The 24,999-nt window shown below is 39.5% G+C and overlaps 1 protein-coding gene and 1 long non-coding RNA gene across 8 annotated transcripts in view, besides 1 other annotated feature; one reads left to right on the top strand and one right to left on the bottom strand.

The window, feature by feature from the left end:
- The window catches only part of LOC102724158 (uncharacterized), a 38,699-nt gene that overhangs the window by 13,514 nt on the left and 186 nt on the right, over window positions 1-24,999 (bottom strand). The gene's annotated exons all lie outside the window — the stretch shown is intronic.
- The window catches only part of TRPC3 (transient receptor potential cation channel subfamily C member 3), a 77,580-nt gene continuing 76,687 nt past the window's right edge, over window positions 24,107-24,999 (top strand). For all 7 annotated transcript variants that reach the window (NM_001366479.2, XM_011532218.4, NM_001130698.2 and 4 more), the window contains exon 1: window positions 24,107-24,701. In NM_001366479.2, coding sequence (NP_001353408.1) covers window positions 24,487-24,701 — 215 coding nt within the window. In that variant the 5' untranslated portion in view covers window positions 24,107-24,486. The remainder of the gene's footprint in view (window positions 24,702-24,999) is intronic.
- Window positions 24,247-24,516: a silencer, noted in NCBI's record as "silent region_15662". NCBI's record gives its function as "represses an Ori minimal core promoter by ATAC-STARR-seq in GM12878 lymphoblastoid cells {active_cell/tissue: GM12878}" and the evidence as "EXISTENCE:reporter gene assay evidence [ECO:0000049][PMID:35858748]".

The raw sequence follows: 24,999 nt of genomic DNA, 5'->3' as shown, positions 1-24,999 counted from the left end.
GCTGTACATACATGATTTATGAACTTTTGGAATGTATGGTCTACTTCAACTAAAAAGCTAAAAATAAATAATAGAATTATAGTGCAAAGTATTGTGCAAGCTGTGACAGATATTAAGATTAATAACACACAGTCTCTTCAAGATTCAAGGATGTTGTAGCTGAGCAGAGCAGTCACATAAGTCAATCATCCATTACTACACAGTGTTAGGATATGTTCTATGATGAGGAGCATGAGATCCAAGGTCGAGTAAGACTTCCCAGAAAGGATCACATGTTAAGTTGGAACAAACAAAATGTGTCGGTATGAATTTGCTTAGTGAGGAGTGAGGGGATTGTGCAAATGCATGGAGGTAACAGAGTACTTGAGAATAGTTCAGTGTGGCTGGGTCTGAGTGTCTAAGGAGAAGAGGAAACACAGAGGGTAGAGAGGTCAACAGGGGCCTTTTAGGTTATGTTAAGGAGGTGGACTTTATCCTGAAGGCAAAGGAAAGTCATAGAAGGGGAAGAAGGGGACTGCCATGATCCATCATCAGCCAAGAACACAGTTGGCATTCATAGTGAAGGGGCATCTGTGTGTCTAAGGACCGGAAATAATCTCCATGAAGAGGGTGAAAGGCATCAGGGCTTGGTTAAAAGAAATTCATGGGAAGCTAACTGGCCTGTAAGTCAGATGATTTAGACTCTTGCCCCCCTTTTCCTACAACTTAGATCTGTACCCTTAGACAAGGTGGAATGGGGAAGGGAAAAAACACTGTGGACTCTTTTCTCTAATTTGGTATAAGGACAGGGCAGGCACATCTACTTCATGTAATTTACTAATCTCATTGACTACATCCCCATGCCATAGCTATTCTCACCACAGTTTAAGAAGAGAACTCAGGCTTAGAATGACAGAGCTGAGATCCAAACCCAGGACTTCTGGGATCCTGGTGCTCTTCCTGCAGTATTCTGGGGAGGATCAAAATTCCCTCGTTTTTCGGCAAAGAAAAGAATTTGCCCTTGGTTACTTACAAGGTCTTTTCAGTTCCTTCCAAGATTCTATGCTTGGAATTGGGATGCAAACCCTTCATCCAGAGATTAAATAAGTGTGTTCTTAACACACTTCATTTGAAAATTCTTGGTCATAAATTATGTTCCCCTTTTTTATTTTTTATAAATAAAAGGATCATAGGCTTTCAGAGGCTTTTTTCTAAATTATACAGGAAACAAAATGTTACTTTAAGAGTAATTAGGGATCTAGAAGCTTTTTAAAGCCAGGTCTCTATATGCTAAAAAGCAATATATAACTAATTTCCATAAGTTGGGAAAAAATGGAAAAAAATTACCCCCACTGGACAGAATAATGGCTTTATATAACTACTTAAGCATGATGTATTGTGATTTTGTCATTAGAGTTGCTTTTAATTACCCCTTTTTTTCCTGATTCTTATGAACCTCACAAACTCATTCCATCATAAGCTGTCCAATGCAAGATAAAAATGTCATTGCTAGTGTCCTAGCATCCAATGTGATTGGTATTGAGCTTGATATATATTTGTTTATTTTTCTATTGCTGACATCAAATGAATACTCAATGACAGAAAAATCAATGTAATTTGACCTTTTGCTCTCTAGTAAAGGAAATAGCACTGTAACTTAATGGCTATATTCTATATCAATATCTATATCAATGTTTGAAAGATATACACTAAATTGTTAGTAGTAGTACCCATGAGGTAGAAGTGGTACTGTGGGAAAAGGGACTTACACTTTTAATCAAAATACTTTGATATTATTAGAATAATTTTTTAACAATTAAAATGTCTTCATATACTATAAATATAATTTTTAAAAGTAAAGAATACCACTTTCCCAGCTTTCAAAATTCTTAAGAAGTAAATCATTCTGAAAATTTGTGCAGGCCAATAATGACCGTATCTAATGAAATATTGTAATTAAGTAAACATAGCTATATGTTTTACCACCATTTTTAGCAGTAATAATAATGTTTTATGCTGGCAATCCTATTTTTAAGAAAGAATTTAAACTCTGTTGACAGAAGGGAGTATGATTAAAAAAAACCTATCAGAATATTCTCGGAGTGTGAAGGACAAATGATATACACAAAACTCCCACATCTGAAGCCAAGAAAATCTTCCTGAGTAATAATAGCAACGTCCAAGAGCAGTGAATGCCTAAGGGGAGTAAACTGGGAGTTGTGCAACCAAAACTGCAATCGCGAATCCCACAATTAGGTTAAATTGTCAGATTTATTGAATGGCCACATTATGCATTAGGGAAACACAGATGACTAAGATATGGTTCTTTAATACCAAATTGGCAGGCTGATCTCTACCCAAGTAATCTCAATTCTCTACCCTAGTATCAAGGGTAATGATATTAGTTTATAAAGGAGGAAGTAATTCTGCCTTGGAGAGGTGAGGCATGGTGGTTAGGGGAAGTTTTCAGAACAGCTGACCTTCTAGTAGGCTTAAAAGGCAGATAGAATTTCTCTGGGCAGCAAAGAAAAGTGTGGAAGTTCATTTATTGGGAGTAGGGGAAGATAGATATGAAGGCTATTGCACAAACAAAGGCATGTAAATACTAGGTGTGGTAATATGAGGTACCAGATTGAACTGGGAGTGCAGTGAGGAAAGGATGCTGAATTAGTGAGAAGCTGCAGGATAGGAATAGGAAAGGTAACTTAGTGTTGAGTTCAGTTCTAGCAGCATGGCAGACTAGATACCCTGAATGGTTCTCCACTATAATACCCCCAATTCGTTAATAACTATTTTTAAAATGATGCTTTTTAAAGAATTGCTGAGCTCAAAAAGAAGAGAAATAGCTTAGGGCTAGCTCTTGCCTCCAAACCAAAACAAAAACATTGAGTTGAAATGGAAATGGTAAGAAGCCTTCACTAATCTGAGGAGCAACACCTGTACCAGCACTGGGACCAGAATACTACACCTAAATCTCACGCCAATCCCAATCCCTAGGTAAGAATTTAACCTGAGATTTCAACATTTACAACTGGATTCTCAGAAGGGCTAATGTCATTCCAGATCAGCACAGCCTCCTGGCTCCCAGCAAAAGAAAATCCAAATCTTCTCTGAAGTAATTTCACTTTAGGCCCTTAGAATTTTCACAGACTACATTCAATCTGAAACAAACTCATAATAAAAATAATTTTAAAATAAACTATCAAACACACAAAGGAAAATCTACCTTTGTGAGTAAATAGAAATAAGCAATAAATACAGAGATCTTCAAAACTTTTATTATTGTAATTAGTAATTATATAAAATTACTATTCCTTGGATAATCTTAGCAGTAAAATGTGAAACTTTTTAAATGAGCAGAAACCATAGACTTTCAAAAGTGACCAGACAGGTTTGAAAAATAATCAAGTAGAACATTTAGAAATAAAAAAATAATTGTTTAAAATAAAAACTTAATTGAATGTTAAATGACCAATAAAAACAGAGAGGGAATTATCTTGTTCTCCTTTTTCATGGCATTTACTTGCCTTTTTTCGTGGCATTTATCACCTTCTACATTCTACATAATTTGCTTACTATATTTATCATTTATTGTCTGTTTCTTAATTTCATCTCTTCAAATGTAAGCGCCTCCTGGGTAGGGATGCATTTATTTTGTTCCCTGAGGTACTCAACTGCCCAAAATAGTGTTTACCACTAGTAACTGCTAAATAAATATTTGCTGAATAAATGAATGGAACTGTCCAGAATGTAGCAAGGAAGTATTAGGAGAAGAAAAATATTAAGGAGGTATTAAGGGGCACAGAGAATAAAATGAGAAAGTTAAACAAACACCTAATTGAAATTCCAGATAAAGAGAAATGAAAGAATGGACAGAATCTTCTCCAAGAGAAATGGCTAATAATTTTGCATCACTGATGAAAGACATGAAGACACAAAAATAAGGATATTTACTTGCTTTGCTCTCACAAGATTGTCCTCAGGAGCAAAGTACTCTTTGAAGATTGTCAGAGAACAAAGAAGCCAGGGTTATTAAAAGGAACTTGTCTTCATTCCCTGTCACCTTACTTTGATGAGTTTAGGACATTCAAATTGGGCCAAATGCTTTGATCTTACAAGAAATAGTATAAGATGGGAAAAGACATGAAGCCCACTGATGATTTACCCTGTCTTGATTAAAGGCCAGATTGAATTACATCACTGGGTTTTCCAGGTCTCCAGTTTGTAAAAAGCAAATAGTGGGATTCTCAGCCCCCGTAATCATATTAGCCAATTTCTCATAATAAATCTCTTCATGGCTGGGCACTGTGGCTCATGCCTGTAATCCCAGCACTTGGCAAGGCCAAGGCAGGTGGATCATCTGAGGTCAGGAGTTCAAGACCAGCCTGGCCAATATGGTAAAACCCTGTGTCTATTAAATATACAAAAAAATTAGCCGGGCATGGCGGCAGGTGCCTGTAATCCCAGCTACTCAGGAGGCTGAGGCAGGAGAATTGCTTGAACCTGGGAGACAGAGGTTGCAGTGAGCTGAGATTGTGCTACTGCACTGCAGCCTGGGTGACAGAACAAGACTCTATCTCAAAAATAAATAAATAAATCTATCTCTTCGTAATAGATCTCCTTTATACATGTGGGTATATATGTGTGTGTGTGTGCGTGTATGCATGCACATGTGTGTGTGTGTGTGTATGTGTATATATATTTACATAAAGAAGAATTTCTCGCTTAGGTAGAGAAAGGTGTGGGCACTCAATAAATATTATTTAATGTAAACAGTAAATTCACTTAAAGGATAAATTTGTATGTTTAAACAGGCTTATAATTAGGTAAGAGTGAGTATAATGTTATGAAGTCATGTATCTTTTACTGGTTCTGTTTCTCTGGAGAACCCTAATACAAGTGGGTACATAAGGGTTTATTTTTCTTTGATGCTCCATAATTTACATATGCATTATATATATATCTACTTTTTATGTCAAATATTACATAAAAGAAAAAAGTCCCTTAAATTTTGCAAATATTGGATATACAGAATCATATATAAAGCTCGTTAGATGATACACGTGAAATCATTTCAAGTATCATAAAGATTATTATTCTTTTTTAATATATGGATTTTTTCCTAATAAAGCTCTAAGCTCTTGAGAAAAGAGACTGTTTATATTATTATGTATCTATGATACATACTGAATCACATCCTTCTTTGAATTGAAATGTTAAAAATAAAAGAGAAAAGAAAAATAACTTTTTTATATTCAGGGGTCAGGAAGTCATTCAGGGATTATAGAAGAAGGACAGCATCTGGTCTGGATGTAAAAGATGACTCTAGTAGCAGAAAATGCAATGAAGTGAAAGCTGGGGAGAAGAAGAAACCTGGACACTGGACATCAGGAGAACAGTGGCAAACTGCTGCAAGAACATGGGCTGGGGATCATGAGTATCTGAACTGGGAAGGAGGCAGTGGGAATACAAAGAAGAGGTGGTTCAGAGGTGCAACTGATGGGAGCTGGGGAGAGATTGAAGAGGAAGGGAGCAGTTTCTCATTCAGCAACTGGGAGAATACTGAAGCAGAGAGATGGGCAGATTTGTGAGGGAATTAGCCAACCATGTGACATGGGGGAAGTCAGTTAGCTTCTTCATGGCTCATTATTCTTCTCACATGTAATATGAGGGTGTTGGGCAAGGTATTCTCTTAGGATTCCAACTCTAATATTCTGACTCTAGACAGCAGAATGCTTTTCCCCCCAAGCCATTCAATAAACGCTATTATGTTTATTCCTCATATCACTAGGAGGAAGGGAGGAGCATTGGAAAGATCATAAAGTTTCCTTTATCTCTTCTTGTTATCCTCTGGGAATTTAGAGTGTGAGAAATTATTCAGAATTTTTAAATTTTCAGGTAAAAATATAACATCAAGAATATTCATTTGACACAATGGGCATGTGAAAAAAAAAAGAAAAAAAGAGAATATTCAGTTGGCCAAATGTAGTAAAGAAAAAAACAATTGCCATATCTTTTTTAAAAAATCCTAAATTTACTTCAGAATTTACTGACTAATTAATAATATAAACAGTGACCAGTGACTCCTGGAAAGGTCGGGGGTATTACCTATTCTGTCAGTAATTTGATTAGCAGAATTTCTAGCTTCAGGTAGAGAAAGGTACAGGTGCTCGATAAATATTATTTAATGTAAATGGTAAATTCACTTAAATGAGAAATTTGTATGTTTTAACAGGCTTATAACTATGTAAAAGTGAGTATGATGTTATGAACTTATCTGTTTTGTTTTGTTTTGTTTTGTTTTTGAGTCTAGCTCTGTCACCCAGGCTGGAGTGCAATGGCGCTATCTCAGCTCACTGCAACCTCCACCTCCCGGGTTCAAGCGATTCTCCTGCCTCAGCCTCCTGAGTAGCTGGGCTTACAGGCACGTGCCACCATGCCCAGCTAATTTTTGTATTTTTAGAGGGATGGGGTTTCACTATGTTGGTCAGGCTGGTCTTGAACTCCTGACCTTGTGATCCACCCACCTCAGCCTCCCAAAGTGCTGGGATTACATGAGCCACTGCGCCCCGCCAAGAAGTTATCCTTTAATGAAGGTTTTTATTTCAGAGAAATAATTTTCTAATATTATGGAAAAATAGTGATGTAAATTTTTTACACCAAATGTATTACTTGAATAAAGTATTCATTTGTTAGAATATACTTATTTTATTTTAAATAAATTATTTTTTAGTTTTTAAAGGAGCTGTTGAAGAGGTCTGTTTCAATAAGGAGGCTACTGTTGTTTTTTTCGAGCAACCATATTTGTTTTGTCCCAGAGAACACAGCTTATAAACCTTTTTATTTGTTAAATTGATAAGAAAAGACCCCCCTCACTCTCCAGCAGTAGCTGTAGAAATCTAATTTCAAACATATCTATGCAAATTATTAAAGGAAGGGAGGGAGGGAGGGAGGGAGGGAAAGAAGGAGGGAGGGAAAGAGGGAGGGAAAAAGATAGGGGAGAGAAAAAAGACAATTTTTTACAGTGGAAGAAAAGGAAGGAGGGAAGGAAGAGAGAGAGGAAAGGAGGGAAGGATCAATAATAGGGAGAAAAAAAAATTTTCATTAGATAAATATAATTCACAAGTGCTATGGAGAAATAATTATCCCTGCATCATTCTCACTTATCAGGCATGAAGAAATGTCATTAAGACCCTGTTATCACTTTTATTGTACCACTTTTAAAATTTATCCTGTGCTTACGTCCCCTCTGGGGGAAAATACATATTCTCACACATGGTTTTGAAAATTACTCTGGAAGGAGATCTGGGAAAATCTATATGGTGTGACAGAAGAATATGATTCAACAATTATTTGTGTTACCTACCCATAGATAACATTCAGGGAAACTTAAACCATCAGTTTCTGTTATTATAGGTTTAAAAAATACTATTTTTCTTAATGGTGCTAAGTAGCATATTGCTTTACAGTAGAATTAGCCTCATTGAATGACAATAATTCATTCCCAGTGTTTCCCATGGGAGGAATGAACAAAGATGGTTAAATACTGAGGGTGAAAAATAAAGTTAGGATCCTTATTTGAAATTATTTAAATACCTTCAGTTCCATCCTCTTTATTTTGCCACTTCACTGACTGGCATGCAGCACTGTGCTTTGGTGCTAGTATATTTCTATGTATCTCTCAAAAAATAGCCATTGACTAAATGACTGATTAGCTTACTATACTCTCCCTTCTATCACTTAGAAAAGATATTAAGAGCTCCACAGCAAAAAGATGTGTCTTTTTCCCCTCCTCTATCTTTCAATCCACATCAGGAATTAGGGAAGGAAGAAAACTTTATAGCCTGTATCTAAATAAAAATCTCAGACAAAGGATTTGTCTGAAATGATAAGTGTATACTCCTGCACTCAAGGAACTAGGAGGTTCCAAACCTGTGCTTCCTTTACTAAATGCCACTGAAATTAAACTCAAGAAAAGGATTATTCACTAATGATGAGGTCACCAGTGAAATACAACCAGGTTTTTGCACAAATAGGAAAGAAAAAAGCATGGATTGTTTAGATTCGTATTTTATCAGATTTAACACAAGAATGTTAAACAGAGAGTAAGTGATCCTCTAGCAATAAGTGCCCCTATAATCAATCATATGTCACTTATCACCTTTCCATGCCTGGATTTACTTCTTTAAACTTTATTGATTTTTTTAACATTTTATAATTTTTACACCTAATTCTTCTAAAACTGGAATCTGGAAGCTCTTTGAATGCAGGGAAAATTGTTTTAAAAATGTCTTCCTACAGTGTCTTACACTAGGCTGGCATTCAATAAATATTGGCTGATTTGGATAATGAAATTAAATAAAACCATTTAAATTTGAGCAATTAGGTTAAAAAGGTTTTTTTCTACTTACTGAGCTAACAGATGGTCAGTGCAGAAACTTTGAAAAACATAGAAAAAACTAAAGAAAAATTTAAGAATCATAAAACATCCTCAATGCCTTCTCCCGCTTCCTGCCCCCAGGAATAAGTGTAAGTTTTTGTAGCATTTTTGCTATGTTGGTTTGATGAAAAAATACAGCGTGCAGCTATACATAAAACTTCCATAGCTCACAATTTTTGTGTAATGGATATCATGAACTTTTCCCCACATCTATAAATATTCTTCTCTAACATGACTTTTGTGTCAGTTCGGTATTCCATTGCATGAAAACACCATAAATCCCACTGAACACCAAGATCTTATTGTTTGTAATTTTGTCTATTATAAATTATTCTACTGTGAATATCATATCAAAAAATAGCGATTTATAATTAATCAAATAATTGAGCTCTTATCAGGGAGGATGTTTGATTGACAAAAGACAGAGAATGGAATTAAATGGGTTTGTACAATTTTGTATTGCATATTTCACATATTGACATAGAAAAAATTACTAATCTCTTCAGTTTTAAAGTGTGACTAAGAAATAAGATACTGAGATTTTATAGGAAAAAATTCTTGTCTTTTTTCTTAGAGTATAAAATAGTTATAGAAAATCAAAGCCTTAAACCATTTAACAATGGCAAAAATGAAAGGCTTAACATTTATTTTCTTCATCATTTATCATATATCAGTGAGTTACTAAAAAGAAATATAGGGAAGAATTTTTGCTAATTCAGGAAAGTTTGAAGGCAGTACATGCTAGATAAATGACATAAATACATGCTTAATACACTGATAATTATCATCAATCAGTCTCAATCTTGACTTGTGTCACATGCAAAAACCTATGTGGCTTTTTAAAAAGCTCTAAAATTCTACATTATAATAACGTATTTACTTAATTATAAAACATGAGGCTGCCAAAATCTGTCCCTTACCCGAATCATTTTTTTTAATAATTCTATTACCAAGACAAATTATGACAAAAACTAAAAACAAAAATCTCAGAATATGCCATTTAAAGGAATCAGTTCATGGACTACTTATTTGCACTCTTTTTCATTGGTTAGGCATCCTAGTAACCTTTTTTTTAAATCCAAAACTTTTATAGGAGGTAATACATCAGATTATTAATTTTTTTTTTTTGAGACAGAGTTTCACTCTCATCACCCAGGCTGGAGTGCAATGGCACCATCTTGGCTCACTGCAACCTCCACCACCTGGGTTCAAGTGATTCTCTTGTCTCAGCCTCCTGAGTAGCTGGGATTACAGGCACCCACCACCACACCCAACTAATTTTTTTTCATATTTTTAGTAGAGACGGGGCTTCACCATGTTGACCAGGCTGGTCTCAAACTCCTGACCTCACATGATCTGCCCCCCTCGGCCTCCCAAAGTACTAGGATTACAGGCCAGATTATTCATTTAAAAAAGGTTTTAAGGAAAGGATTATTACTAAGATTATCTACCTCTTATCCAATTTAATCCCTTGCTCCCAAAGTAGGTTTATACCTTAAATATGGGCCAAAAATATCAGTAATAAAAAAAATAGCAATGGGAAAAGAAACAAAATGGATTTGGGCCATGGGATGGAGATTCACAAAGAATATATGACTTCTGCTCTGAAGAAGCCATAATGTTCTCGGATCTAAAAACTTCAGTCTAGCCCTGTAAGCACATTCAGTTATTGCTTACCAAGAACATAAAGACTATCAAGGTTAAGGAGAATGGCATATAGATAAAATACATTTAGGAAATACCTAGGTCCATGCCATCAGCATCACTCCCACCCCTACTACCATCTTTATCAGTTTACATCATTACCTATAACAAAAAAATTCTAGTCAAAATTAAATTCTCTAAGAATCTATTGAGTGGTAGTCCCTATCCCCAAGAGTAACATCCTGAAGGGAAAATAATTTATAAAAACAATAGTAGTTGTTGATAAATAACATATATTTCAGTGTATATTTTTCTGTCACCTCATAGAGTTAATCCATATTGTTATCCTTTCTTGAAACAAGGTATAACTCTTCACATATTTCTACTCACCCCCATCCCCTACTGCCTTCTGTGTTATGATGGCCAGGCAGTGTAAGAACCCACTTGACATTCTTGGTCCTGATTTAATGTGGGGCAAGACAGTGCCACTGTGTGTTTTCCTCCAGGCTCATCCAGCTGCACAAGTAGAAGCATGGCTGAGTACAGTTGGTTTTGCCAAGTGAATATAAAGAAGGGAGAGGGAGCAAGGGGGTTGAGCACATTATGCAGGGAATCGTTATGATGATGGTTGTGGGTTTCAAGCTGGGTAAGGGGCCACTGGAATAAACAAAAAAGGGTAGATCAATGGATTAGAGGTTCTGAAAAGATTGAAGGATTGCTAGAGTTGTGCTAATACAGGGAGTGACCTGCAACTACAGGAGGTGGTAAGGTCAGAGAGTAAGGTGCATGAAATTAAGATTATGGAAGGGTTTTAGTTAGTTGTTGCAATAACTTCTAGAGTGTGATCATGCATAATGGCTGGGGTAGGGTGTAGGACAAGATAGAAAGGAATTCAAGAAACTGAGAGGCCAGGGTGTTAGAAAGATCATCTACGTATATGCTGACTTTTCAAAAATTAATACAGAAAATGTGTGGAAGAGAGTGATAATGAGTCAGGAGCTAAAGTCATAGAGAAATTGGGAGGGGCTCAGGGACAGAGAGAAATTGCAACAACAAGATTAGCTGGTAATATCATTTGATGACATTACATTCAAAGCTGGGGAGAAAGGAGGGAGAATGGTCTGAAGCAGAAAAAAAGAAAAAAGATCAAAGAGACCTAAAGTCATTCCAGGCCCATAAATATAGAAGGATGTAGTAGAAAAATCAGCCCTGACTTGAGAAGACTGTAAGGGAAGAAGCATCCTCAGACAACCAGGTTTTCTGCAGAGCAAGAAGGTAAAGGAAACTCCTTCACAAAAGGGGATGAATATGTAGCAGATTTTGCTGAGGAAGGATCTTGAGTTCCGGAAGAAACAAAGGAAAGGGGTTCAAGAGTTTGGTAAAGAATATGTGGGCCAGGTGTGGTGGCTCATACCTGTAATCCAAGCACTTTGGGAGGCCGAGGCGGGCAGATCATGAGGTCAGGAATTTGAGACCAGCCTGGCCAATATGGTGAAACCCCATCTCTACCAAAAATACAAAAATTAGCCAGGCATGGTGGCATGCACCTGTAGTCCCAGCTACTCAGGAGGCTGAGGCAGAAGAATCCCTTGAACCCGGGAGGCGGAGGTTGCATTGAGCCAAGATTGCGACACTGCACTCCAGCCTTGTTGACAAAGTGAGACTCCATCTAAAAAAAAAAAAAAAAAAAAGAATATGTGGGAGATGGAGCTAGAAGTAGAAATGGGCAGATATGATGGGAGAGGAGAGGTGGCTTGGAGTCTGGAGATTTTACGGTGAGTCTTATAAACATGTAGGTAAAGGGCCTCATATGGTTTGGCTGTGCCCCCACACAATCTCATCTTGAATTGTAGCTCCCATAATTCCCACGTGTTGTGTGAAGGAGCAGGTGGGAGATAATTGAATCATGAGGGTAGTTTCCCCCATACTGTTCTCATGGTAGTGAATAAGTCTCATGAGATCTGATGGCTTTATAAGGGGAAACCCCTTTCACTTGGCTCTCATTCTCTCTCGTCTGCCACCATGTAAGATGTGCCTTTTGCCTTCTTCCATGATTGTGAGGCCTCCCCAGCCACGTGGAACTGTGAGTCCATTAAGCCTCTTTTTCTTTATAAATTGCCCAGTCTTGGGTATGTCTTTATCAGCAGTGTGAAAATGAACCAATACAGGGCCTAACAAAGACAGTCCTGGTAGACTCAAGGCAGACAATGGGGTCATGGGAAGGCTGGAACTGCTGAGTGTAGGGAAAGGAGATATTAAGGATATTCATGTTCCTTCATGACCCCGGCAGCTAGAAACAAGAAGGAGGCTGTGAGAAAAGGTAACTGCAAGGTTGCCTTTTTTTTTTTTAAGAGATGGAGTCTCACTGTGTCACCCAGGCTGGAGTGCAGTGGCGCGATCTCAGCTCACTACAACCTCCGCCTCTCAGGTTCTAGCAATTCTCCTGCCTCAGCCTCCCGAGTAGCTGGGATTACAGGCGCACACTGCCATGCCTGGCTAATTTGTTGTATTTTTAGTAGAGACGAGGTTTCATCGTGTTGCCCAGGCTGATCTCTAACTCCTGAGCACAGGCAATCCACTGCCTCGGCCTCCCAAAGTGCCAGGATTACAGGCATGAGCCACCGAGCCTGGACCTCCAAGGTTTCTTGACACTTGTTCATGAGGTTATGTGACCAGGGAGATGTGTCTTGCCCAGTGTGTACTTGATTCACTCTTGATTCCTGCTGGTTAGGGCTGTTGATGGGAATTTAAAAACATCCTCCTCATACAGCAATTTGTTAGTGCACAAATAAACAAAGTGTGTATATACTATGACTCAAAAATTTTAGGGATTTTCTGGAAAATATTCTCGTGGCAATCAATTTACAAACAAATTAAATAATGAATGGTTAAATACAGCATAGTATATCCATATTATAAAATGAGGTAGATATATTGTTAAGCGAAAATAAAAACAAGTTGCAGAACAGTAAGTACAGTATAATTTCACTTATGTATTTTTAAAAGCAACATAAAATCCTATACTTGCATAGCATATCTAACAAACACTTCTTAAAAACATACTACATGTTAGGCACTGTACTTGCTTTATGTATTAATTCACTTAATCAGCTAGGTACTATTATTATTGCCGTTGTATAGATAAGGAAACAGACCCAGCAAGGATAAATAATTCACCTCAAACCCCAAAAATATTAAAAAGGCAGACTCAAATTCTGTTCTAGGCAGCCTGGCTCCAGGAGCTCTGCTTTTAAACATGTAAAACTGGCTATTATAGACAAGTATTGAAAAAAGCCTGAAAAAAATATGCCCCAAACTCTTAACTACAATTATTTCTGAGGGGGGAGTAGGACTGAAGGAGGTAAAAGGTAAAGAATATTGTTAGTTTTTACTTTCACTACTTCATGCTCGTTTAAACTTTTGATAATTAGAATATATTCACTTGTATAGTTTTGGTTTTACTCCCTTAAAAAAACATTCACTGTGGTTCCAGTCTGTACCAGGTTTGTGTTCAAGGCACAATGGCGGCATTATTTAAAAAGTAAAAAGGGTAGGGATCAACTTTCCTTGAGGAAGGAAACTTCAAGGAGGAGATTTTGAGTCTTGAAGGATGAAGAGTTTTCCAGGTAGACATTCATGGAAGGGCACATGGTTGGTGTTCTTTATTGTTGTTGTTGTTATTATTATTATTATTATTTTGACAGAGTCTTGCTCTGTTGCCCAGGCTGGAGTGCAGTGGTACGATCTTGGCTGACTACAACCTCTGATTCCAGGTTCAAGAGATTCTCCTGCCTCAGCCTCCCCAGAAGCTGGGACTACAGGTGTGTGCCACCACACCCAGCTAATTTTTGTATTTTCAGTAGATGCGGGGTTTCACCATGTTGGCCAGGCTGGTCTTGAACTCCCGACCTAAGGTGATCTACTGGTCTCAGCCTCCCAAAGTGCTGGGATTACAGGCTTGAGCCATGGCGCCCGACTTACAGGTGGTATACAACAAGTTTTTTGAATGAATGGATTCTAGACAGAAGGAACACATATACAAAGTCTCAAAGGAAAGGTAGCAGGAGTCAAAGCTGGAGAGATAGGCAAGGGCCAGATCACCAAAAGCCTTATGTGTTAAGTAAAGGACATTATCTGGAAGCAATGAGGAGACATCAAAAGATCATATATATTTGGGTTTATTTTAGGTTTCCAGGGCATTATCTTACAGATGCTTACTGCACATTAAGTGGTAAGGGATAGTAGAAGAGAATAACCACTGCTGCTGCTAATGAAGATGATGATGATTTGAGATTCTGGGAGATAAAGTATGTGGACTGTAATTGTGACTGTCGCAAATCATCTACTATCTTACATTTTCTGTATTTAAGATCATTTCATTCTTGGCCACATTACTATCTTGAGGTTTTTTTTTTTTTTTTTTTTTTTGAGAAAAGGTTTTGCTCTGTTGCCCAGGCTGGTCTCGAACTCCTGGCCTCAAGCAATCCTCTCTTCTGCCTCCCAGAGTGCTGAGATTACAGGTGTGAGCCACCATGCCCAGCCCTATCTTGAGATTTTTTTATATCCTTAGGTACCGGTAATTCTTTTCCTGCTTTTGACTGAATTGTATATTTTGCATTTATATAAAAGTATATTCTGAAAGATCTAAAGTCATGAATAAAATCTTCTTATATGTGTTCCCAAAAAGTCATTCTAGCTAAGCAATTCTATTTTTCCCCCATAACAGTTCCAACCCATAAATCCTTACTGCACCCTTGCTGCCTGTTATGAGCTTTTACTATTCCTCCTAAATCAATTTATTTCTGGATATTGGGTTTTTGCTGAACTATCTCCAGAGGTGTCCTTGTTTTATTTATATTTTAATATATTTGGCTACAGTATGCATAATATTTCTAGCCAAGGATGAGCTGATCATTTTTAAATAAGGTATTATTGGTGGCAGAGGCCCTTCAGTGCATTTTTGGTAAAAATCCACCTGTGATTCACTCAGCTGACTTTACATGAAAATTGGAGCCATTTACGGTTTGGTAGCCTGCCATCTTCTTTCTGATGTGTGAGAAGCCTCTCTTTCCTTTGGGATTTCAGAATTTTAAGCTGCTAGGTAAACAGCTGAGTGAGAGGAAAGTCCTCATAAAGCAAACAAAACATCCTAAAGCAATGACTTCTTTTTGTTGTTCAGTAGCCAAGATTAATGTATAATTTTTAGAAGAAATACTTTAGTGTGCAGGAATTGTTTGATGTAGATACTAAGTCTTTTATTATTTTTCCTGGGCTCTACAGAAAGTGTCAGCCTTCAGAGGGTGCCAGAAAAGTCCATTGGGCAGAGCTCCTTTTGCAGAATAAATCACCTTTAAGCCAAGATTCAAAGCTTTCACTTTCCATTGTATTTTAGAGCATTCTCCTGTTTGGTAGTCAAGCCTAAATCTATTGAACGCAAAGAGGTATAACCTGTCTCCTTCTTGGCTCACAACAATATAGATCTTTATTATGCCTTCTATCCCCATCCCCAACTCATAATTATAACAGAGGTTCTGACTGGTTATATCCAAGACTTGAACTTAAAAGGCACACATTTTCAATAGGAACTCTATTGTTTACTGAATTTTTATATTTTACACATTGAGATAGTTTGAATGCATGTCCCTGCTCTAATCTCATGTTGAAATGTAATCCAATCTCAGAAGTAGGCCCAGTGGGAGGTGTTTGGATCATGGGTCCCTCATGAATGGCTTGGACCATCCTCTTGGTGTTAAGTGAGCTCCTGCTCTGAGTTCACACAAGATCTGGCTGTTTAAAGGTGTGTGGCACCTCCCACCAACCTTCCCTTCACCTTCTCTCCCTCTTTGTTGCTCCTGCTTTCGCCGTGTGACTTGCCAGTTCCCCCTTCACTTTCCACCATGATTGTGAGCTTCCTGAGGCCTCCCTAAAAGTTGAGCAGAAACCAGCACCATGCTTCCTGTAAAACCTGCAGAACTGTGAGCCAATTAAACCTCTCTTTTTTTATATATACACTACCTAGTCTCAGGTATTTCTTTATAACAATGCAAGAATAGCCTAATACACATGTCCAGTTGGACTTTTCCACTTCTCGCAGATATACATGGTGTTGGACATCAATGCCTTCTAGGAACCCTCAAAGACATCACTTAAAGTCCCCCTCTGAGTGCTTATCTCATCACTAAGATATACAACAATCTTCTTTCTAAGGGCATTTACTCACAGACTTGACTCATTGATTAAGATGTAAGCCACACTATGAAATTTTTTTCCTGGCATCCAAATCTCTTTTAAGAATTTACTTACAGAAAAGAAAAAAAAGTAAATAAAAACAAAAAAAAAGAATTTATTACATTAAAAAATAATCTATAGAGGTAAATGAATCATGTTCTTAAAAACTGTTTAGTGATGAAAATATTAATGTATATTATGAACATTTAGTCAGGATTGTGCAAAGGGATTCAAACATTATAAGTTGATCAGACTAGATGTCCTTTAAAATGTTTCAACCCCACATAGTTCATGATTACCTGGACAGTACAATCTCCTCCCTTTCCTTTATCCCTAAAATCCTTAAAGACATTATAATAATCATAATGTCATATCAAAAGGATTAACAGTTGAATTACATATTTCTATGTTGCCATGTGAATATCTTGTAATTTTAATTATTTAACCAAAATTTGCATTAAAATGAGGCCATTGAGCATCTTGTATGGGTATTTCATACATTTTCAAGATAATTTACTCCAGGTGAATATAGGGGAATCTTGCATGATACCAGTACATCAGCGACGCTCCAGGTGAATATTGGGAGAAAAGATAACATTTTAATTTTTTTGTCTTTTCTATTTCTCTTTCCTTTTGCTTTATCTTAACACTTTTGCCTAAAGTTAAGAGTTATAGGATAAAAGAGTTACATTTGAAGATTAGAGCTGGCTAATGGGAGGTAGGAAGGGCATAGTTTATGTCAATGGGGAAACAGTGTCCTTTATATATACAGAGTGTTTAAGTGAGTTTCACCCTCACTTCTCGAAATTCATATCTGGTCAGACATCAGTAAGTCAGGTCTTTCTCCAATCAATGGTGGTGGTAGATATTTCTGCTTTTAAACAAAACAACGTTAAAGTGGTTAACCACTAACCTGGTAATATGGAGACTAACAACCTTATCCTAAGTCCATTATTAGTAATTCAGAACTTAGCATGGGGTTGCATTTGGAACCTGTAAGAGGTGTGCATGTAGCACAGAATAAATTTGACATAAAAGAAAAGGGAAAGTAAAGAGAATTGCATTTACATTTTTAATTAACATTTTAAATATGTCTTAAGAATTCAGCCTGGGTAGAATTAATATAAATAAGAAATTATCGTATCTCATTTGATTGAAGGTAAAAGTACCATGACTGGAAAGACTGACCTACTCTATTTTCCCAATTTCTGACAGATGACTTATGTGACCCATTTCTGCTAGTTTCCATATTATAAGTGATTGGTATTCTTTTTCTCCCTGAAGGAAAGACAAATATAACTTTGAAGAACATGTCTTTAAATAGTTTTTGGAAGAGGGTCGGCAGGAATCATTGGGATTAGGATGAAGTGGAATTGTTCTTAACCTTGCCAAAAAGAGAGGCTAGACAGATTTGATTCCTGTATGTTCACACAGAGAGAGGTTGAGGAAATGAACACTAAGTCTTCACGCCCACTTTCCTCAAATCTCCAAACACAATAGCATTCTAAGCCTTGAGCTGCAATTTAGAGTCAAGTCATTCTTCAGATTGTCAATAAAAAACTGCAAGCACTCATCAAGTCTGTATCTTACATTGATTCCCTCTAGGACTGATTTCATATCAAAAATTGTATTAGCAGGTATGTAAAGGAGTACTTGATCATAGAAAAATTGATTAATAATGCACTTAGTCACATAGGAAAGTTATTACAACCCCTTTAAGACACTAATTTACTCTTGGAGATTTCTGATCTGGAGAGAGCTGTGAATTTTCCATCTATAAAACCTAATCTTTTTTTTTTTTTTTTTTTTTTTTGAGACAGGGTCTGACTCTGTTACCCAGGCAGGAGTGCAATGGCACAATCTCGGCTCACCAAAGCCTTGACAGCCCAGGCTCAGGTGATCCTCCCACCTCAGCTTCCTGAGGGGCTGAGATTACAGGCACGAGCCATGCCATATCACTGTGCCTGGCTATTTTTTTTTTTTAATTTTTTGTAGAGACAGGGTCTCACTATGTTGCTCAGTCTGGTCTTGAACTCTTGAACGTAAGAGATCCACCCACCTTGGCCTCCCAAAGTGGGTGTAATCCCATGTCTGGGATTACAGACGTGAGCCACTGTGCCTGGCCTATAAAATGTAATAATTGTTAAGAACTATGAAGGATCTGAAATTTTACCCTACTGGCAAGCTAACAAGGTAGTTAGCCACAGTTTCATGAATGCTGGCAGAAGGCACAAAACTCCCCTGCCAGACGCAAAGGACGGTTTATTACTCATAGCAATAGCGGTATCCAGAGTGCCAGTATTTGTGCCAGTTCCCTGAGTCTCAGTTCCCACAGAGTGACATGGAGAGGGGCAGATGACACCTGCACATGCAGCAGGTTGCATTACAAGAGAAGAACCTGGAGCTTAGGTAACCTGAATCTTTTATAACAGTCAGTAGGCATGCCTGACCTTTGCCCCAAGGAGAGAGTTATCTTTATTACACAGAACAGTACACATACTAGTTCTTTGCTGTTTGCCATATAAACATCCTTGAAAAGATATTCCAGAACAAAGGTAACCATTGCCTCTGCTTTCAAGGTGTACAGAAACATGAGGCACTCATGGAGAATTGTCTCCCCAAAATAATAAATTTCTGTCTCTATTTGCTCAATATTGAAGCTATACATAAATCCCCTAGCTTTGCCCCTTAACCCATTTTCCACTCCCTCCTCAAATTGGGAGCCCATCTTGACAATGCTATTGGTAGATGTTAATGGGGTGGGGGGTGGGGCAAATTCAAAATGGTAGAAAATTATAACTTTTAGTAATGGGTAGGATGAAAGTTGGCTGGCTGCGGTGGCTCATGCCTGTAATTCCAGCACTTTGGGAGGCCGAGTGGATCATGAGGTGAGGAGATTGAGACCATCCTGGCTAACATGGTGAAACCCCATCTCTACTAAAAATACAAAAAATTAGCTGGGTGTGGTGGCGGGCGCCTGTAGTCCCAGCTACTGGGGAAGCTAAGGCGGGAGAATTGCTTGAACCCAGGAGGCGGAGGTTGCAGTGAGCCGAGATTGCGCCACTGCAGTCCAGCCTGGGTGACAGAGCGAGACTCCATCTCAAAAAAAAGAATAAAAGAAAAAAGTCAGAAACCCTACAGGGGAGTTGTAGGCAGCTCCTAGTATCTTCCCTTCCCCTAAAAGCATCTTCCTTTCACTTGACTTTAATACACAGCTGGTAGTTCCATTAAATGGACAGTTACTGTTGTTTTTGAAAAATGTAAATCCCTTGGAGCATTAAGGACTTTTAGGGGCTCACACACATTAGTACAAACTTGTATAAAATACTTTCCCTTTAACAGCTAACTGAGACTGACTGCCCTGAAGGAATAGCAGTTTTTGACTGGCAGGGAATAGAAAGGTCATTGAGAAGCATGGAGCCCTTTTGGGGTAATGGCAGGCCAGAGATAAGATCCTGGAAGGATGAAAACAATACGATGTCACTGAGCTCATAGGTGCTAGGAAACAAGGCATTATAAGGTAGACAAAGATGTAGAGAAAGAGTAGAGAGATGCCAAAGAAAGGTTTTGCCCATTCTCAAATTTTACTTGAGGTTGGCACTGTACCCAAAGCAGAAGAAGAAAAGTCGCTCCCTCCCCCTCCTCACTATGGGATCTCTTCATTTCACAAATAGTTATTGAATGGCTGCTGTTCCAACTACCACGGCTGTTTCAATTGCCACTACTGTTATTACTACTTACCATTTATTGAACACTCACTATGTTGCCAGCTTTATGATTACACTGGTGTGACAATGTCAAATAAGACTCTGTCCCTGCCCCTAGAAGAACTGACAGCCCAGTGTTACAACTTAGCAAATACTATTATAGAATGGCATCTAAATCAGATAGGGTAGATCCTTGCTTTAGGAAACAGACTTCTGATTTCTATTGTTAGTTCTATAATTCACATACTGAACTAATAGTAGCTAATACTTACTAGTGCCTACTATATGCCAGGTACAGTTTTAAGTGCCATTAACACAGAATCCTTATAACACCCCTATGAAGTAGGTACAACGACTATATCTTCATTTTACTGAGGGAAAAACTGAGGCTCGGAGAGGTTAAGTAGCTTTCTCAAAGTCACACAACCTGTGAGCAGCAGAGGTGGGATTTGATTCCAGGCCTCTGGCCTTATGTTCTTAAATACCTCCCTACACTGTTATTGAAACAAGTTCAAGCTAACTTTCCAGGAAATATAACCATAATTTATAACTTATTTCTATGTTAAAGTAAGTTTTGAGTCCTGATATGGTTTGGCTGTGTCCCCAACCAAATCTCACCTTGAATTGTAATGATCCCCAGGTGTCAAGGATGGGGCCAGGTGGAGATAATTGAATCATGAGGGCAGATCCCCCATACTGTTCTCATGGTGGTGAATAAGTCTCATGAGATCTGATGGTTTTATAAATGGAAGTTCCATTTATAAATGGAACTGCACAAGCTCTCTTGCCTGCTGCCATGTAAGCCGTGCCTTTGCTTCTACTTTGCCTTCTGCCTTGATTGTGAGGCCTCCCTAGCCATAGGGAACTGTGAGTCCATGAAACCTCTTTCCTGTATAAATCACCCAGTCTTGGGTATGTCTTTATTTGCAGCATGAGAACAGACCAATACAAGTTCCAAACTTCTGACTAGAGGAAATTTTCAAAACACATTGAGTGAGGAAACTGCCTGGGAACTCCTTGGACTGTAAGAGAACAGCAAGCATTAGTGAAAGACAGTTTATGGGACATTATAAGTTCTGTGTAAAAGGCACTAGAATGTTAATGACCACATCATAAGTTTGGGAATCCTAATTTGGGGGGGTTGATTGTTCTGATATGCAGCTTTTATCTTCTTAATTTATACTGGTAACAAAATCAATCAGTTAAGTTTACTTTAAAAAGCAAGCAAATGCATTTATAGGAGAACTTCTACTCTTTTTTATTTTCTTTTTGAGACAGAGTCTCGCTCTTGCGCTCTTGTCGCCCAAGCTGGAGTGCAGTGGCGTGATCTTGGCTCATCGCAACCTCCGCCTCCCGGGTTCAAGCAATTCTCCTGCCTCAGCCTCTACACTGGGATTACAGGCGCCTGCCACCACGCCCAGCTAATTTTTGTACTGTTTTTTTAGTAGAGACAGAGTCTCGCCATGTTGGCCAGGCTGGTTTCGAACTCCTGACCTCACGTGATCTGCCCACCTTGGCCTCCCAAAGTGCTGGGACTACTGGTGTGAGCCACTGCGCCCGGCCAAGAACTTCTGCTCTTAAGGAGGGGAAAGAAATGTACACTGTTAGGAACACTTTACCTGTTTCTGTGCTCTTGCTACCTTCAGAAAATTGCTAAGTCTAACTTCTATGCTGTGTCTAATAAGAAGACACTGTTGAGCAGTAATTCTTACAGATAACCTTATTTATATTTTAAAATTTTTGTGATACATTGAAGTGTTTAATCTTTGCTTTTCATGTCTATTTTTTTCTTTGTGGTTTCTTCTATTCCTTTTGAGATCAGAAACTTCTCCTCTGTTATGGGCTGAATTGTGTACTGCCAGAATTCACATGTTGAAGTCCTAACCCCCAGTACCTCAGAATGTGCCAGTATTTGGAGATGGAGTCTTTAAAGAGGTAATTAAGTAAAATGAGGTGATCAGGGTGGGCCCTAATTCTATATGAGTGGTGTCCTTATAAGAAGAGGAGATCAAGACACAGGCACAGAAGGAAGACCATGTGAAGACAGGGAGAAGATAGCCATCTATAAACCACAAAGAGAGGCCTCAAAAGAAACCAACCCTGTGAACACTTTGAACTCAGACTTCTAGTCTCCAGAATTGTGAGCAATTAAGTATCTGTTGTTTAAGCCACCCAAGCCACCCAGTCTTTGGTACTTTGTTGTGGCAGCCTCAGGAGACTAAGACATTGTGTAAGAGTAAATCCTGGTGACTCCAGCATTGCTATAGAGCTTCTATCCATGGTCCTATAAGGGCAGTTTATAAACATACTAAAGTAATTATAAAGAAACTATAAACTTCATAAATTCATCCAACAAACATTTATTTAGCTTGTCCTGCACATCAGGTACTGATCTAAATAGCAAGGACAAAAAGATGAGCCCCTAATAGCTCAAAATAAATAAGATCCCACATCACCCTCAAGGGATTCATAGTTTAGAGGAAACAGGCACATACAGAGTGAATTTCAGTATGATGTGATCACTGGTAAGACTGTGGTATACACAGTGTGGGTAAGGACCAGAGCCTGTGGAAAATCCACTGGGACCCAAGAGGGCTGTCAGACTGGAGGCCACAGCTAACCTAGTTCTTTAAGGAAAAGTCAGTGTAGCAGATGAATGAAGAGAGACATTTCAGTGACAGGAATGCCATAGACAAAGGCAGAGAAATGGGAAAGTATCTAGCATGTCAGTTGATGACTGAGCGTTCAGGGTAACTGCAGTTAGAATGTGTATGAAAAAGGATGGGAGGAGAGATTGAAAACTTGGATTTTAACCTGAAAGTAGTGGGAAGCCACCAGAGATTTTTATAGAGAAAAGTCGTGATCAGACTTTGCTTTAAGCATGGTCTTTCCAGTAGTACAAAGAATGAAACAGTATGGGGAGAGGTGGGCTGCAGAAAGGCTGGATAGCAGGGAGAAGCAGGGGAGCCTGAATTGAGGCGGTGGTACCGGGTGGAGAAGGGCAGTCCTGCTTTAGAGATATTCCAGAGGTGAAACTGAATAGGTCTGCTAACCTACATTGTGAAACCGTTAACACTTGCATATGTACTAACAACTGAAAAGCACTTCCAAACATAAAGCACTATACAATATTTACTTGTTTTTGTTTTTCCTATATTAGATGTATAAATGCTATTGCTTCTTTCAACATATAGACTTGCCAATTTAATACACAATATTTTATTTACTTTTTAAGAATTAAATTCAAAGGAGCTACATTTTCTTGTGTTTTGCTTAAATTTGGGAAGAATTGTTCCTCTAAAAAGTACAGTATAATTGGATACAGTTAAATAAATTTTATCTCATCAGAGCGTGTCCAGTATTTTTGTGATTTTTCCTAGTTGGACTTGCTAGAAAGCCGTCTATTTGAAGCAAGGGAAAGTCTGGAAGAACACACTCTTCTGGATCTAATCTAAGTTTTCTCACTACCCACCTATCATGAGTACCTTTTTCAGTCTCTCTAGGCCAAGGGTTTCTTATTTAAAAGGACCAAGAGACTCCTTGATCCCTAAGATTCCTGCTAAGATTCTGTACCTCTTTCCTCCCAAAAGAATGACTGGTCTTGAATTCTAAAATGCAATTTTTGTGAGTGTGTTTTAAAAAGAAGACTGCATTTCGCTGAAAAATCTTCCTTGGAAAGTATATAAATCTTATTAGACGCCTTTGAGAGTCATTAAAAGAACTGAAGCATCATGCACGTTTAAAACATTACCAGGCTGGATGGAGTACGAAGGCACTCAGGGGAAGGTACTTAAACCTCCGTAGGTTCAACCAAGTCTTACCGGGAGTAACCCAACGAACAAGTGATGCTTTTTGAGACAAATTTGGAGAGTTGGCTGCAGGAAAATTAACAAGCCAGTGGATTTCCTTTTCCCTTCCTTAGGAAACTTGTTTCTGTAGATGCAAAAAGGGCCCTAGATCCTCTGGAAGAGAAAGAGAGTGGGGAGGGGAAGTTTCTCTTTCTTTACTCCCCACCTGCGGTCTGTCTGATTTCCTCTCCAGCTCTGTCTGATAAGGAATTGATTCTCCCCCTCCTCTTCCCCCTCCCGCCCTCCCTCTCCTTCTCCCTGAGTAACGATGCTGTCCTAGCAAGTGATGCTGTCGGAGACAGGAGACGGGCGCCGAGGAGGCATCGCCGCCGCCGCGGGGCTGGAGAGCCTCTCCCAGCACCAGAGCCCCGCTCGGCCCCGGGCTTCCTCGTCGCAGCCACGGCCGCGGCAGCTGCTCCCACGGTTTGATGGTGGGCGGCGGCAGCTCGGCTTCGGCGCTAGCCTCTAACTGCTGGATCGCGGGCCGCGACGCTCTCCGCTCCTGCCTTCCCGCCCTGGGCCGCCCGGGGCCCCGGAAGCCGCGGGAGGTGGTGAAGGGGCGCCGCGGGAAGACTGCACTGCCGCGAAGGCGGAGGAGGCCGGCAGCCGGCACCCCCACACTCGGACCGCAGCCGGCGCGATGTCCACCAAGGTCAGGAAGTGCAAAGAACAAGCAAGGGTGACCTTCCCGGCGCCGGAGGAGGAGGAAGACGAGGGCGAGGACGAGGGCGCGGAGCCGCAGCGCCGCCGCCGGGGCTGGAGGGGCGTCAACGGGGGGCTGGAGCCGCGCTCGGCGCCCTCGCAGCGGGAGCCGCACGGCTACTGCCCGCCGCCCTTCTCCCACGGGCCGGACCTGTGAGTACCGGGCCCGGCCGCGGCCCGCGCCTCGGAGGGCGGTGCCGGGCGGGGGGCGGGAAGGCGCGCGCCGGGCGGCTCCACGTCGAGCCCGGGACCTCCGAGACCCACATGGTACGGCCAGGCAGTTCGATTTGGAGTGATTTGGAGGGGACAGACCTCGGCCGGAGGCTCGCCCCCTCGGTCCCGCGCGGTGGAGGGACACAGGGGCTGCCGAGTGCGTGGCAGGGGCTCTGTCCAGGCTCAAGCACACGGAACAGCCCGCAGGCGGGCACACTGACTTCAGACAAGCATCCTG

Source organism: Homo sapiens, chromosome 4 (genome assembly GCF_000001405.40).
Source record: "Homo sapiens chromosome 4, GRCh38.p14 Primary Assembly".
Taxonomy (NCBI): Eukaryota; Metazoa; Chordata; class Mammalia; order Primates; family Hominidae; genus Homo; species Homo sapiens.
This window is presented reverse-complemented; position numbering and strand designations above follow the sequence as displayed.